The following is a 15,942-nucleotide window of genomic DNA, read 5'->3' as shown; positions in this document are numbered from 1 at the left end:
GGCACGATCTTGGCTCACTGGAACCTCTGCCTCCTGGGTTCAAGCGATTCACTTCCCTCAGCCTCCTGGGTAGCTGGGATTACAGGCGCCTGCCACCACGCCCGGCTAACCCACGCCCAGCTAATTTTTCTTTTTTTTTAGTAGAGACGGGGTTTCACCATGTTGGCCAGGCTGGTCTCGAACTCCTGACCTTAGATGATCCAACTGCCTCGGCCTCCCAAAGTGCTGGGATTACAGATGTGAGCCACTGCGCCTGGACACATTGATGGTTTTCTCACCAGTGGCCAGTAATTTAAAAACCGACAGAGAGAGAGAGAGAGAGAGTGTGTGTGTGTGTGTGTGTGTGTGTGTGTATAAAACAAACACAGTGCTTACTCCTTGCCATACTTATACATAAGTATGCCTATAAAGTGAAGAGCTAGTTTTTTCTCTGTCATTCTGAAGCCAGTTCCACAAGTGGAGTTTGCAAGTGTCTTTTAATCAGTGGCAATTTTATTTGGAATAGGGTCAAGTCATTCTAGTATGACTACATTTAAGTGATAACACTCGTTTGCATGTTTGCCAAAAAATAATCCAGTTTCACTGCCCCCCACCCCCACCCCCAGCCACCCTATCTAAAATATGAATTCCTTGAGGGCAAGACATCTACCATCTCTTGTGCATCCCTTCCACCATTAGCACTTCTCTGTATTGTGCACATGATTTGAGATCCTAGAGCTCTTTAGAGGGCTGAGACACTTTTGGTTATCATGCTAGGAAGACTGGCTTTGCCTTCCTAGTGCTTGTCTTCCTTTGTTGAGCTTTGCAAACCCATTTATATCACATGGAGTAACGGGCTGTTTGGGAAGTTTCAGCCAACTGTTCTTTACTTCATTTTATGGATGATGTGATACCCATTTTGTCTGTAAGTGGCTTTCTGTAGAATGAATGCCCCATTCTCATTGAAGAGGTGGGATAACCATAGCTCTTAGCCACCACAATGTGTTTAGAGCACTGTTCAGGGAATAGTCATGGTACCTTCAAATATTACTGCCTTTCAAGGTAATGAAATCTCCAGCTCTGCCAGATCTTTTGTGTCATGAGAAAAAACCAAAACAACTTAGTTCCTGCCCATCCAGGGCTTATCTTTGAAGTAATAAGAGGAGAATGAAAGACTTGAAGAAAAGAGTGGCACTTGGATACATTTCCACCCACACAGGTACTTGTTTTGTTTTGACTTTGTGTGGTCTGTTTGTGTGCTTGCAGTGTATTTTTTTGGAAAGGTTGTGTCTTTGAGTTCAAAAGAATTTCCTTTCCGTATTTGATTCAGCTTCCGTATTTGGTTACCACTGCAGTTGTGACAGTTGCTTGACTAATTTTTGCAATGCCCAGGGCTCATTGAGATTCTTGGAAAGGTGAAAAGCCACCATATTTACTCTCTCCAGTGCTGGCTCTCTTTCTGCTATAGCTTTTAAAAGATGATAGTTTCTTTAAGTTAAGATTTTTAACAGCTTTGCTGAGATATAATTCGTACACCATGCCATTCATTCGTTTAAATTATACAATTTAATGGTATTTAATATATTCACAGAGTTGTACAGTTATCACTGGGATCAAAGTTTAGAACATTTTCATCACTCCCGGAAGAAACCTTGACCCGTTTCACTCTCCATTCCCCCGTCCTGCTGGTCCCTGGCAGCCACAGATCTACTTTCTGTCTATATAGATCTGCTTATTCTGGGCATTTCATATAAATGGAATAATACAATATTTGGTCTTTTGTTACTTCATTCCTTTTTATTGCTGAGTAGTAGTTCCTTGTATGGCTGTACCACATTTTATTTACAAAAAAAAAAAATGTTTTTAAAGAAGCAATACTAGCTCCTGGATAAAGGTTGGGTTGAGCAGTTACACAGACTACAATGCTGCCTTCACTAATCTTTAGCTGTGAAAAAGGAAGAGAAAAACATGCCATTTTGTTTGCTGATTTGCACTTGAACCCCAGCAAAATGTCATGGTCCTAACCCTCTGGTGTAACCTGTCTGGAGCAATAGCATGGTTTATTTTTAGAATCTGAGTGACATTTTCTGTTTGGTAATCTGTCTAATTTCAGATGGAGCTATAGATATGGATATAGATAAAATTTGGCATTTTCAAACTTGTACTTTCAAAGACCTTAGAACCAAATGTCATTCAGCTGAAACCATAATGTATTATAAACTACGTCTTCTAGAGTTTTGTTGTCATAGAGGCAAATGAGATGCCAAATGCTAGCAATCCTATTTAGGAGGCCTACTATTAGGATTTAAAAGAAGTGGACTGCCAGAGATGAATTATGTGACACAGATGCTAACATCTAGTTATTATGAGTGATCCATTCTGTCATGAGGTAGCACTTGAAAAACAACCTGGGACAAAAGAACAGGCCTCTGGCACTACTGAATTTTTGGAGAGAGAAACCTTTAGAAGTTAGCATGTGGTTCTTTCTGGACATGTTCATTGCCTTAGTTCTTCTTTTGCAAATATTTTGTAAATATTCATGAAGTGAAATGAGATGTTTGAGAAGGCAGATCTGCAGATCCCCTAAAGAGCATTGTCAGTTATGCTGGGCTGTTCCTACCCTATCCCTCTGTTTACCTGCGGCGGCCTCTCAGAGCGTGATCGTGGTGGCTTTGTGGTGGTTTTAAATGTAATCGTGAGAAGCTAGCTGAGAGAATGCTAGCAGTGTTCCTTCGGATCAAGTTGAGACTAGCTGGTACAGTTAAGCCTAAGTTTCTTTTTGTTTCTTTCCTTGCCCCTCTCATTTTTCTAGACTTTGAGAAATTTACAGTTTGGTAGTTAAGGACTATGTTTGCAAGCCTAATTCAAAGCTTTTGGGGAATGAGTTGTTTTGTTGTGCAAAAGACAAATAGGAAGTATATGACTGTATGCCTTATAGGAATAGAAGGCAGCAGATAGTATAGCTATTTTCCATATGGGGAAACTGAGGCATGGGAGGGTTACTTAATGAAGTCCCTGATCTCTCAAGAGGCAAACATTAAAAAAAAAATTAGAGAAAGACGTCATTATTTGAAAATAGAGGTGAGCCCTCCTAAAGCTGGTCTTGAGCTGTTTCACGTGTTAGTGCTGGCAGGAGGTAACCAGGACGGCCTAAATCTTGCTTTCTGAAACTCGTTCATCAGGCATTTCCTGAGTGGATGTGAGTACTGAGATACATCATCAGTTCTCCCATGTGCCACGTCACTGCTGACACGTCCTTAGAAATGTCTGATGTGGTGTTGGCTGATCTTGGTATTGATCAGTTGTGAAAGTGGAAGAGGCATGAGAAGAGACACCTCTTGGGGCACGCTAAAATGACATATCGTGGGGGTCCCTGGACAACTTTTTATTAGGACTGGAGCCAGACCTAGGAATATGTGTTTTAAATAAGTCTTTTAGGTGATTCTGACGTAGGTCATCCAGGAACTCACTTTGGAAAGCATTGTACTAGACATGAAATAGGAGTGGCTGGATGAAAAACAATAAGGAAAATTTGCCCCGGTGCTGTGGCTCATGCCTGTAATCCCAGCACTTTGGGAGACAGAGGTGGGAGGATCACTTGAGCCCAGGAGTTCGAGACCAGCCTGGGCAACATGGTAAAACCCCATCTCTACAAAAAATACAAAAAATTAACCAAGCGTGGTGGAGGGCACTTGTAGTCCCAGCTGCTCGGGAGGTTGAGGTGGGAGGATCACTTGAGCCTGGGAGGTTGAGGCTGCAATGAATTATGATGGCACCACTGCACTCCAACCTAGGTGACAGAGATCCTGACTCAAAAAAAAAAAAAGAAAATTTTCACAGATTGGTGAAATTAAACTGAGAACCACTTTTGCTTTACATATGAGCTCAGCAGAGCCTTTAAATCACGATCAGGTTTAATTTACTATCTAATTTTCAGAAATACATTTGTCACCTGCAGACAGTTAGACCTAGACAGTTGTAGAAATTTTCAGCATTCCCAACTTACAGAAAACCCTGACAGAAAGAATACACAGCTGACCCTTGAACAATACCATCTGAACTTCGAGGGTCCACTTCGACTCAGGATTTTTTTTCAACCAATTGCAGACAGAAAATATTGCAGGATGTGAAACCCATGTGTGTAGAGGCCCAGCTTCTCCTATAAGCGGGCTCTGCAGAGTGGACTTTGAGACTTGGGTATGTGTGGATTTTGCCATTGGTGGGATTCCTGGAACCAATCCCCTGAGTATATATACCAAAGGATGACTAATTTCTCTTTAGTATACAACACCTAATTTTCACTCTGCTGAAAATAAAATCCTTTGCTGCTTCTGTTCCATGGGCTCTTCCTTCTGTTCCTTCCAGCCAGTCGACAGAGCCTTGATGTGATCCCAGTGGATGACCTGTTAACTTAGTGAGGGGCTTTGATTCTGTGTGGGTTCCTGTGGATGCTAGGATTTGGATATGTATGAGGTGACATCACTTTCTCCTCTGTCACCAGCATTGGAATCCATAACTAAAAGGTGGATGGTGAGTAGCCATCCACCTTTGGCAAGAAAGGTTGCTACCTCAGCTATTTAAGATATTTGCTCAAATACCAAGTATGTAAGTAAATGGGTAATTCCAAGCTGGAACAGCCCAAGGAAGCGTAAGAAAGGAAATACAAGAGCCTTTCCAGGTTTCAGTTCTCAGTCCAACAGATGGAAGCCTCTCAGTTACATGAGCTCACATCTGTCTCTCTGATTTGACAGAGCTCGTGCCATCAAAACTGGAATTGCTAATTCTATAATCCCTCGAAAGCATAATTGAAGTGAGACTGACAAAGAGCTACACCCTAAAGGTTAATGGCGCAGAGAGAATAAGGGGCCTAGAGAACTAATCGTGAAATATAAATGTCAGTGGCTGCAAACCACTCATCCATTTAATTTGCTAGAAGTTAATATAGTCTTGTAGACCCCAAATTAAAATGTTTCAGTTTTGCTTTATTTCTTCATTACTCTAGTCCCCATTGACCTTGTGTCAAGACGGAAACAATTGAGGAGCATTCTAGCATGGGAGCAGTTTTAACAATCATTGTCAGCATGGCTTTAAAGAAAATAGGCTGGCCAAACACACATTAGGTTCTGCCATCTAGTAATAGTATGATTTTTTTTTTTTTGTAAAAACCATTAAAATAAGGCATTGGGAAGACAGATTGAATTTCTGAAATGCCAGAATGTCAGTGGTAAATATCACTGTTATTTATTATCCAGGAGTTTGCTACCCAGCTATCGGTGGTGGGTATCTAGCAATGGCTGGGGCTTCAGCATAGGCTGGCTTATCAAGAAACCGGATGGGAAGATAATGGCATTTAGAAGAACATTTGTAATCAAATTCGTAAGCTTTGTAAAAGATGTAAGATGAAGGTTAGGTTTTTGTAAAGGTTTCTTGTTGGTACCTCTGAAGGCTGTAGGTAACTATAATAATAGATTTGAAGGAAAAGACAACTCATAGAATGGGAAAATATTTTTATAAATCATGTGTCTGAGAAGGGACCTGTATTGAGATGTATAGAACTCTTACATCTCAACAGTACAAAGGCAGATAATCTTATTTAAAAATGGGCAAAGGATTTGAATAGACAATTCTCCAAAGAAGATAAATGGCCAAGAATTGCAGAAAAATATGCTCAACATCATTAGGAAAATGAAAATCAAAACCACAGTGAGGTCTGCCTACTATGGATGGTTGAAATAAAAAAGACAATAACAAGTGTTGGTGAGGATGTGGAGAAATTGGAATGCCTCATACGTTGCTGGTGGGAATGTAAAATGGTGTAGCTGTTTTGGAAACAGTTTTGCAGTTGCTCGAAATGTTAAACATAGAGTTACCATTTGACCCAGCAATTCTACTCCTAGGTACATACTGGAGAATTGAAAACATCCCTGTAAAAATCTGTCCACAAATGTCCATAGAAGTATTATTTATAATAGCCAAAAAGTAGAAGCAATCCAAATACCCATCAGCTGATGAATGGATAAAATGCGGTTTCTCCATACGATGAAATATTATTTGGCAATATGAAGAAATATAGTACTGACATACGTTACAACATGGATGAACTTTTAAAACATTATGAGTGAAAGAACCAGACACAAAAGACACCAAATCATTATATGATTGAGTTTATATGAGATGTCTGGAATCGGCAAGTCTATAGAGACAGAAAGTAGGTTAGTGGTTGCTAGGCATTGGAGAGAGGAGAATATGGGGAGTGACTGCTAATGGGTATGGGTTTCTTTTCGGGGTGAAGAAATGTCCTAAAATTAGATCATGGTGATTGTTGCACAGCCCCACAATTATAAACACATTGAGTCAGACACTTTAATGGGTGAATTATATGGCATGTGAATTATATGTCAATAAAGCTATTATAAAAGTTGGAGACTTAATGTGGAGAATATTGTTGCTCCATTCATTCCATTCTTTGCAAAGTTCTTTGTGTGTGTGCATTTGCTTACATTAAAATATTGTGCAAAGTATTAGCTCAATTATAAATCTTACTAATGGCACCTATCGGTCATTCAGAGAACACCTGAGTGCCAGGCTTTGTGTCTGGTGGTAAGGGGCATTCACTGCTGCTCTCTGGACACCCCACCCAGGGCCCTTCTTGAGGAGCTGACAATCTGGAATTGTTGTTTTCTTTATAATCAGTACTAGCTATCTTACAAGAAGCAAACTGACATCCTACGTGTACATTCAGATGATCTTTACAGAGCATGATATGTGCACACAGGGTGGGACGGTCGGGTCCTGGGGGTGAGAGGGAAGGAGGGGATGGAATTCCAGGTGGAGCCGGTCAGCAAGGGCCCAGGACAGAGATGGCCAAGGGGAGTTGTGAATTTATTGTTGTCCAGCCTGAATGTTGTCATTGGCTCCCAAATTTTCCGCGAAGTAAGTCCCAGCTCTTTATTTAGCGTGGCTCAGTAGAAAAGGTAGCTCTGGAATTTCCATAGAGAAGGAGAGTTTTGGTAGTGGCAGGTCTGATTGGAAGAGGTGCAAGCAAAGGTTTTACGTATGATCAATGTTTACTTTAGCGGCCCTGGGGTGCTAACGCCTTTGGATGACCAAGGCTCACCCTGCCCTCCGGCACCTTTTGCTGCTCTTCACCCTTGCCCTCACCCTGCTGGCTCAGGGGTGCTGTGCTGTTGCCCCCTCAGGCTGTGCCGACCTTGCAGGATTTTGTTCACTGGGCCACTCCTGCTGACCCTTCACCATCTGCTCTGTGAAACCTCTCCGAGTGGTATAGGAGTTGGAAACATAGTCCCTGGGGCCAGACCTTTGGGTGTAAATCCAGTCTTTCCTATTTCTAGCTGTGACCTTGGGCAAGTTGCTGAGCCACTTTTGGTGACCATTTCCTCCTGAAAATGAAACTAATGATAGTGCCTACTTCACAGGTAAATAGGAGTACGAAATGAATTCACATATATAAAGCTTCTAGAGCATCTCTTCTCAGTACCCAACATCCTGATTACTAATTTGCCGGGGGGTGGCACTCTCTCCTCTTTTTCTCTGCTCTTTGCAGGTGCTGCCACCACTAACAATAAACTATAGGGAGGAGAAACCCAGTCAATTCCCTGAAAAGTCTCCAGTGTGACCAGAAGTACAGATAATATTGTTCCATTGTATTAAAGTCATTCTAGGGAGTCTTAGAAGATTAGATGCATGTTGGTTCCTACAGAGGAAAAAGAAAAGAAAGGAGACTCGAGTTAATGCCTTGAGGCCTCTTACAATGTAACATCTTTGCTGCCTAGAGGGGCCTCTGTCTGCTGAGGTTCTGTGTATGGGTGGGAGGGCACTGTACAGGGGTGAATGGGGTGGAATAAGGGGAATATTGTGTAATCATCAATCGGCCTGATTTTTCCAACCTTCCTTCCCCAGCCCTATGGTGGCTCTAGACCAGCTCTAACCCCAAAATCTTAAGCAAGTTTGACCGCCCTTCCGCGTCAACACACCAAGTGTTCTGCGTTAGCCCACCAGGGAAGTGAGACTGCTGCATCCATGGTCTCTCAAAATTAAGCTTCATTGCATTACACACCCTAGGGCATAAGGAAAAACTGTTAACATGTAATTCTGCACTGCTTAGAGATGCCAACTTCTTCAACAGTTCTTGGACCTCATTATTTTATATTCTGTAAGTGTAGATGTGATGTATGTCACTTTATATTTTTGGGTTACCCACTCTTCTTTATATCCAGTAGGAAAGCATTTAAATGCATGTTTGTCGTTATGTTTCTATTTTTCGTGATTGGTATAAAGATGAATGGCTCTAGGAATGTCATCTAGTCCATTAAGCTACCGCCTGCCTCTCTGATCCCTGATCGCTTGCTGTCAGCTCACCCGAGCTCAGCTGTACCTTTGAAGTGCAGGGCAAGCCTTTCATCTTCCATCATTTTCACTTAATGACAGCCTGGCCTTTGATCAGCTCAGTTTTCCTCTTTCTTTGGCTTCATAATAAGTCACTTGGAGCTAAGGAGAGATCTGAAGTAGGCCCAGAAACGGCCACAACTTTTCTGAGCACAATGGTTGATTGGCCTTTATATCTTAAGTAAATATACCAAAGGGAGTCAGCCCTTCCTGGCTTCTCATTGATAAAATTTGCTCACTGGGTAATGTAAATGTAAAAAGAGAGAGAGGTGGGAGGATAGAAAGAAATAGAAATGAAAAGTAAGCAACATCCCCATCCCCCAATATTTTAGGTTGATTAATTTGGGGAAACCTCCTTCACCTTCACACTCCAGTAGAAAACTTCTTGGCATCATGGGGATGATTTTGTTTAGGAAACACATTAAATTTTACATGCTAATGGAATATTTGTTTTCAGGTTAAATTCTATGACTTTTTTACTTTATTATTTAATAGTCTCTTTTCTTGGAGCTTGGTAAGGAAACAAAAGTCCTTGATTGTGTATAATTTTTGCATAAGGATCTTACGATTTCCCATTAACATTAAAATCTGTGGAATAAGTCTGCAATTGCACCTTTAAAAAGCAGCTTTACAGATTTACCTATTCTTTGGTTATGCTGAACACCATTATTAAGCCATTTTTCTTAAGAAATAAATACATTTTGGTATTTAATTACTTACCCATGTATGAAATTAGCTGTTTGACTCTCCAGTAACTCTCCAATAAATATTTTAATACTTTCTCAAGCTAGTCACATACTTTTGACTTCAGTTCTAATAGCCTCTTAGTTTTTTTATTGGATAATACAGACATCTTGTAATAATAGCTTACATAAACTATAATTATTGAGTAAAATTTATCTGTAAAAGCACTCCAGAATATACCATATACTGTGAAAAACCCAACATATCTGTATATTAGCCTGACACCAATCTAATGAAGGATGATGATTTTTTAGAATTGGTTTATTTTAATATAGGTAGATTTCATTGGAGTCAGTTTTTAAACATCGGTATTCAGATTTTTCCCTCTATAAGTATGCATTATTATTTGATTTGTTTGATGTTCTTCACAACTCAGATTTTAGGAAATGTCTGTTGAATAAATGTTGATTAATCATGGATAAATGGAAGCTCTTAGCACAACCCCTGCCATCAAACAGTGGACATCTAAATTGTTTAAAGAAAATGAGTATACTGACAGTTTTCTTCAAGAATAAAAATGGAATCTTATTAGTACATAAAAACGTCACCTGACAGTGATTGAAATGTAAATATGAGAGGTTAATTAGACTTTGTTAGATCAACCTGTGGAACTTAAAATATGGAGTTCTAGCACTAACTCACTCTTCCTTGTTACATATTGATAAGCTAGGGAACAAGTGTAGCTTCCTGGCTTGTTCATCTCATAGTTTCTCAATTTATACGAAGGAAGGGTCAACATTGAGAGAGTTATTAGGAAGAAGCTGAGGGTGGCCTGTTTCGGAAAGATCAGGTCAATGTATAATACTAGCTGGAATACCAGCTCTCTGATCTTTCCTTAAAATGTGTCTTCAACCTGCCTCTTCTCCATCCTCACTGATAGGAACATTGTTGAAGCTTCCTCACGTAACGCTTGCGTCCCTGCCCTGTTCCCTGACTCAGGTGTGTGCACCCATCTGGCATGGTGTGTTGGAGCACCCCTCACGGAAGCCTCCCTGTAGCTGTGTCAGTGCTTACAGTGGCTCCCTGTCAGTGACCCGCCTCGTCAGGTCTCAGCCGTTCACCTGTGTTCAGAGCCCTTTATTATCTGACCCACCTCTCTGTATCCAGCCTTAAGTCTAAGGAAACAAACCCGTTGTTCTAGTCCCATTGCTCTCGCACAAAGATGGCATCATTCCTGCTCTCTGCCTTGCCTCATACTCTTGTACCTGCCTGGAATGCTCATACCCATCATTTCTAAGTGTCCAAATCCTGCCTGTTTTTCAAATCCCACTCCTGTTAGAGTTAGAATTATTGTCTCCCTCATATAAAATGTGTGTGGCATCGCTCTCTTTTTTTAAAAAAATAAAAAGTGCATCTCTTTTTATTTTTTATTTCAAATTAATTAATATTTTAAAACTTCCCCATTTTAATTCCTACTATGATAAATGTCAGTAGATTAACCTACATAACCAGAAGCTCTTTGGGGGTAACAGCTTTATTGAGATATAACTAATATACCATGCAATTCACCCATTTCAAGAGCATCTGATTTATTTTGGCATTTATAATGTTCCATCCTTACAGTTCTTTATCTCCATAACTTATCACTCCCACTAGAACTAAAATTTTCGAGGCAAAGACCAGATCTCAAACATCTGTGTGTTTTCCTTAGTTCCTGGAGTAGTCCTACAAACATCCCAGGCACAACAATGCCTTTCACTGAACCACATCCTCTGATTTTTTTTCTGCCAGTCCTAAATTGTATACATTCTTTAGACAGGACTGGATTCAACAATTAGCCTTTTAAATAAAGGTTCCATGTCCATGTGTCAGTTTTTGGGGTGATGTGGCAGGGACACAAGTCCCACTTCACTATCGTTTTGGGATGAGGACTGTCTCAATAAGAGAGCATGGGTGGCAGCTTTTATGAAAGGACATAGCAAAGGACAAGGACAGGGCTTATCCCTGGAGCCTGCTCTAGGAAAGGAAAGGAGGCCCTAGGGAATGAGCTGGGTCTAGGAAGTGGCCTGAAGGCTTCCTAGCCATGTGAAAATGTTTGTAAATAGTACCACCGTTAGGCGATAGGATTAAGAGCCATAACGCAGGATGCTTGTAAATGTTTTCAGACACTGAAGACCAAGGAACACTTACTTGCTGAGGAAGAGCTTGAAGAAGGTGAGGCTTGCACTCTAGACCAGACCTGAAAGTGAGGGACTGTTCCAGGCAGGTGGGAGGGGAGGTGGGAGGCATCCCCTGCGTGTGCAGACCACACCTCAGGAGCAGTGGAGTCTGAGGGGCGGGGGAGGGAAGAGAAAGAGAGATGGGTAAGGCTGGAGAGAGAGGGTGAGATGGGCTGATCAGGTTGAGGCAGTTGAGCCTTTACTCCGGCAATCCAATCAGTCAGGGATCCTGATCTCTCGTGGTGGGAGGCAGGGTGGCCACGTTCGAAGACTTCCTTTCAGCCCCAGGGGTGAGGTGATGTGAGAAGGAAGAATGGAAAGGATGCAGATTGGCCTAATAGCTTTTATTTGCCTGAACCATACAGGTCCCTTATTCAACAAATATTTGCTAAGCACCTGCTTTATTCCAGGCAGAGTATAAGCTACTCCTGATTGTATTGTCTGTCTTTCTTTCAATGTGTTTTGTATGAAAATGTGTCCCCAGTTGGACTTGTGCTGAATTGTATCTGGGGACCCTGTCTTTAATCCAGCTTAGCTCTGCACTCTCAAACTGCAAATTAAAGGTGTGTAATAAATGAGTATGGGAAATAAAAATAATAGAAAAACAGAACCCAAACAAAAAAATGAGTATGTGATTGAGTGACAATGACAGGATTCACACCCCCAAACTATTACTACAAAAGGGAGGAGCTTACTTGTTTCTAACAGAGCAAGGAGCAATCTGTGTGTACTGCAGGCTCTGCTTCCCCAGTGATGGGATGGGCTGGCGCCAGGTCCTTCCGGTGTGGTGCAGTGCGGTGGGAGCACACAGTATCACCTGGGTAGTATTCTTGCCAAAAAGATTTAACTCAGATCTAATCATAAAGAAATGATTAGGCCACCAAAATTTGTAGGGACAGCTCATTGGTCTGCATTATTTAAAAACATCAGTGTCACGAAAGAGAAAAGAATTCCTTTAGATGAAAGGAGATTAAAGAAACATGACAACTTCACTGAGCAGCATATGACCCTTAATTAATGAAGTCCTCCCCCAACCCTCCCTGCCACCAAAAAAGAGACAGGTCAGTTCGGGAAGTTGGAATGTGAACTGGATATTAGATAATGACAATACGTCAACTTTAACTTTGTTGGGTATGATAATGGTATTGTGGCTCTGAAGGAGAATGTCCCTGTTCTTAAGTATTTATGGGTGAAATAAGATGTCTCCCACTTATTAATACTTTCAAAAATCACAGCAAGAAAACGTGTATGCATGTAGCTAAAACAAACTGACAAAAATGCTTATGATAGGTGAATCAAGGTAAAGAGAATGGGATGTTCTTGTTCTCATTCAACTTTTTGGGTAGCTTTAAAATTTTTTGAAATTAAAAGTTGGAAAAATTAAAATGATTTACTTGGGCATGTAGCTGTTTCAGCAGTAAGGTTGACTGAAGCTGACTTTAAGTTACTCGCTTTACTTGTCTTCAGGGTTGTCAGGCTCTCGAATGGTGTGCGTGCCCAAGTCCCTAATGCTGCTTCCACTGTGTCAGGACTGAGACATCTTTGAACTTCGTGTCCTATTTTAATCCTTGGAAAATTCACTCTGTGGCTTCTGAAACCAGCATATTTAGCAATAGTAAGGAATACAGTGAGTTAATGAATTTCCGTGGGAAACCTGGATGGCTGGCTGAGATATCTGACTTGGGAATGTGTCTCGTCCCAGCTACCTGCCCACTGCAGCTCCGTGGGGGGCTTGGAACTGATAATGAGATTTCACGATCAGAATCGGGGGGCCTATACACAGCCTTCCTTCAGCACTCTGTATGCCAGTGAGAAATTTGAACTGGTTTCCGGGACCACCATCTTACTCCTCAGGGTCTGGACTGGAACCTACTGCAGAGAGCAAGATCGCCTGTTTGGCGGTAGCACACAATGGTGTTGCTGAGAAATGAGTAGTTTTTGAGTTGGAGCCAGCAGCACGTCACAAGGGACGCTGCCAGGCAGCTCAGCCCAGGTAGATGGCACCAAAAGGGGTGCTCTTGGGGCTGAGGCTGACAAGAGGCACTCAAGTCGGGTTTTGAAAGTGCAGATGAGTATGCATTGGCAGAGAGGGCTTCTGAACACATTCTAGGGAGGGAGAAACGTGCATGGAAGAAAGCCTGTAAGTCCAGAGTGTGTGTGGGGAGGAGGCGGCACCGTGCCGGGTATCGCTCTGAGCCTGTGTGTGGGTTCACACTACCATTTTCACACATGTGGAAACAGTCATAGAAAGTCAGGCAGCTGCTCTGAGATGACGTCGCCGGCTCCTGGTGGAGCAGATTCGGAGCACCCACTCACCCAGGCTCTTGGGTACTGTGTCTCCTGACCCCTTCCATCGGCTAGTGGCTGACTGTATTCGAGGCGGGGGCCTGTCATGAGTAGCGAGAAGGACAGTTAGAGGTTCCCTTTGTTCAGCCATCTTATCCTTCAAATGGGAATTGCACCAACAGATGGAATCCAACAAACAGTGTAATAAATAAATTGCCTGTTCTGGGCTGGGACCTTTATATGAATTCTCATTGATTCGCATAGAAATCCCTCACGGTAGTTGGATAGAGGCTCAAGAGAGATGAAGAGACTGCTAAGATCATACATTTTTCTGACTCCACAGCCCACTTTCTACTATGTTTCTCTGTCACTGGTAGAGTGGCCAGGGATACAGAAATGAATGAGCTGCTCCGTGCCTCCCAGAACAGTACCCGGGACCACGTGCGAGGTATTACAGAGAAGAGCAGCACGTGGTGAATTCTTCCATTAGGCAGCCTGTGGGCAGGGCCATTCTAGAGGCTCGGAGTGTTACGGGAGATCAGAAGAGGGAAAGTTTAGTTTTCTGTTCTCTCTCTGCACTTGCAAGACTGTGTCTCTTTTTTCCCCCTCTAGTGATCAGTGCCTGATTCCAGGACTCAACCATCTCAGGGCCTGTGGCAGTCGTACCCTCTGGAACTCCCTCCAATTAAAGAATGTCTTGAAAATGCAGATGGTAGCATATGACCTTCGGTGCTTAACCTGTCACATGGTACAGGGCTTGCAGACAGAAGTTTTTTGAGTATTTTTACCAAAACACTTACATTTTGAAGAGATCATACCATTACCAGCTTAATCCCTCTGTTTCGTGGCAACCAGGGTCCCTCCGGAGGCTTGGCTCAACTGCTGAAGAGGTTTGAACAAGCCTCTTTTTTTTTTTGCTTACCCTCATCCAGCTACTCCTTCTAAACATTTATAAGCTCTACCAGGGAGGAAATTGAGCCCCCAGCAAAGTGCCTGATTCCAATACCATCTGCTAACAATTTACTTTCATAACTCTCCTCCTCCTCATTAACAGTAAAATGTTACAAAAGTAGATTTGCAAGTAAATATAGTGCAGAATTTCTGCCAGGCTTTAAGAGCCTTTTCCATTAAGGAGGACTGTGCACTTGGTGTTAAAGGTTCTGAGCTGGCTTTGTCTCCTTGGGGTTCACCGGTGATGTGTCAGGGCCATGTCAGTGCATGTGACCCTTTGGACCACTGTTCTAATAGGCAGATGCCAGTCCTTAGCCTGCACGAGCACAGCCACAGCGGAGCTCGCACTCTAAGCGGGGACTGCACTTTCCTAGTTTACTCAGAGGCCTCTGAGGCTACCTGAGAGCCAGAGTCTAGGGAATGGAGGACCAAGAATAGAAGGTAGGTGTCGTTACTAAATCTGCATCGGGAAACCAGGGAAGTGGATGAGTGTTCATTCTTTTTTGTTTGTTTTGTGTTTGATCTTTTTGAATCTTATGATTTACAAAGCTAAAACCCAACCTCAAACCTAGATCTGATGATCTTCAGGCTGTTTGTGTTGTGTTACATACCTGAGTTTTCTTCAAGCCAAAATGATATGTATAGTAAGACATTAGTTTGACCCCACTTACTCAATTCCACGGAGGTTGCAGTGTTACATAGTCTATCAAGATACAGTTCAGTTGTAAACTAAATCCAACAGGGTAAATGAGACAGCAGGGACTTCTATTAGCCCTGAAGATAATAAAATGATTTTAAGCAGTATAGAACTTCCTAATTAAATGAATAACAATGTGTGGATGTGATAACAAGTTTTAATTTAAAGTATTTTTAGTGCTTTTTGGTATTCAGAGTAACTGCAGTTCATTAAAAAACTAGTGTATATTCACAATAGATGTTGAGAATTATAGACATAATTTCTTTGGCATTCTTTTATCTTTTTCCCTTCAGCCCCTGTAAAATTATAGCTATTAATACTTAAAACCAGAGGCGCCAGCAGACACCATCCCTCCTGCACCAGTATCATCAGTACGACATGTCTGGGAGCAGGTCCCACCTCAGACCCACTGCCTCCCCATCCAAAGGAGGCCCCAGCCTGGTTTGTGAACACAAACCTAGTCCTCCTCTCTTACAGGCAAGCAGAAGAATTCCTGGGAGGTCGAGGTTCCTCTGGCTAGTGCAGGGCAGATGATCACCAAGTCAGAGGGGCAGGCCGCAGCTGTCCACTTGCCCAGTGCCCAGCCAGGAAACCCATTCTCCTCCCTTGCCAGTCCATGTGTTTGTTTCCTCCTGTGCTCAGGTGGTTCTGGTCTGGAAGCGGCATCTGTACGTTCAGTTGCTTTCATCTCAGTCCCACTATGTTAGGTCAGACAGATGG

The 15,942-nt window shown here is 42.2% G+C and overlaps 1 protein-coding gene across 11 annotated transcripts in view, besides 1 other annotated feature; it reads left to right on the top strand.

Annotated features, from left to right (window-relative positions):
* Positions 1-15,942, top strand: part of VGLL4 (vestigial like family member 4) — a 165,749-nt gene that overhangs the window by 94,261 nt on the left and 55,546 nt on the right. The window lies entirely within an intron of this gene.
* Positions 3,050-3,099: an enhancer, noted in NCBI's record as "active region_19431". NCBI's record gives its function as "activates an Ori minimal core promoter by ATAC-STARR-seq in GM12878 lymphoblastoid cells {active_cell/tissue: GM12878}" and the evidence as "EXISTENCE:reporter gene assay evidence [ECO:0000049][PMID:35858748]".

The sequence above is a fragment of the Homo sapiens genome, chromosome 3 (assembly GCF_000001405.40).
Source record: "Homo sapiens chromosome 3, GRCh38.p14 Primary Assembly".
Taxonomy (NCBI): domain Eukaryota; kingdom Metazoa; phylum Chordata; class Mammalia; order Primates; family Hominidae; genus Homo; species Homo sapiens.
This window is presented reverse-complemented; position numbering and strand designations above follow the sequence as displayed.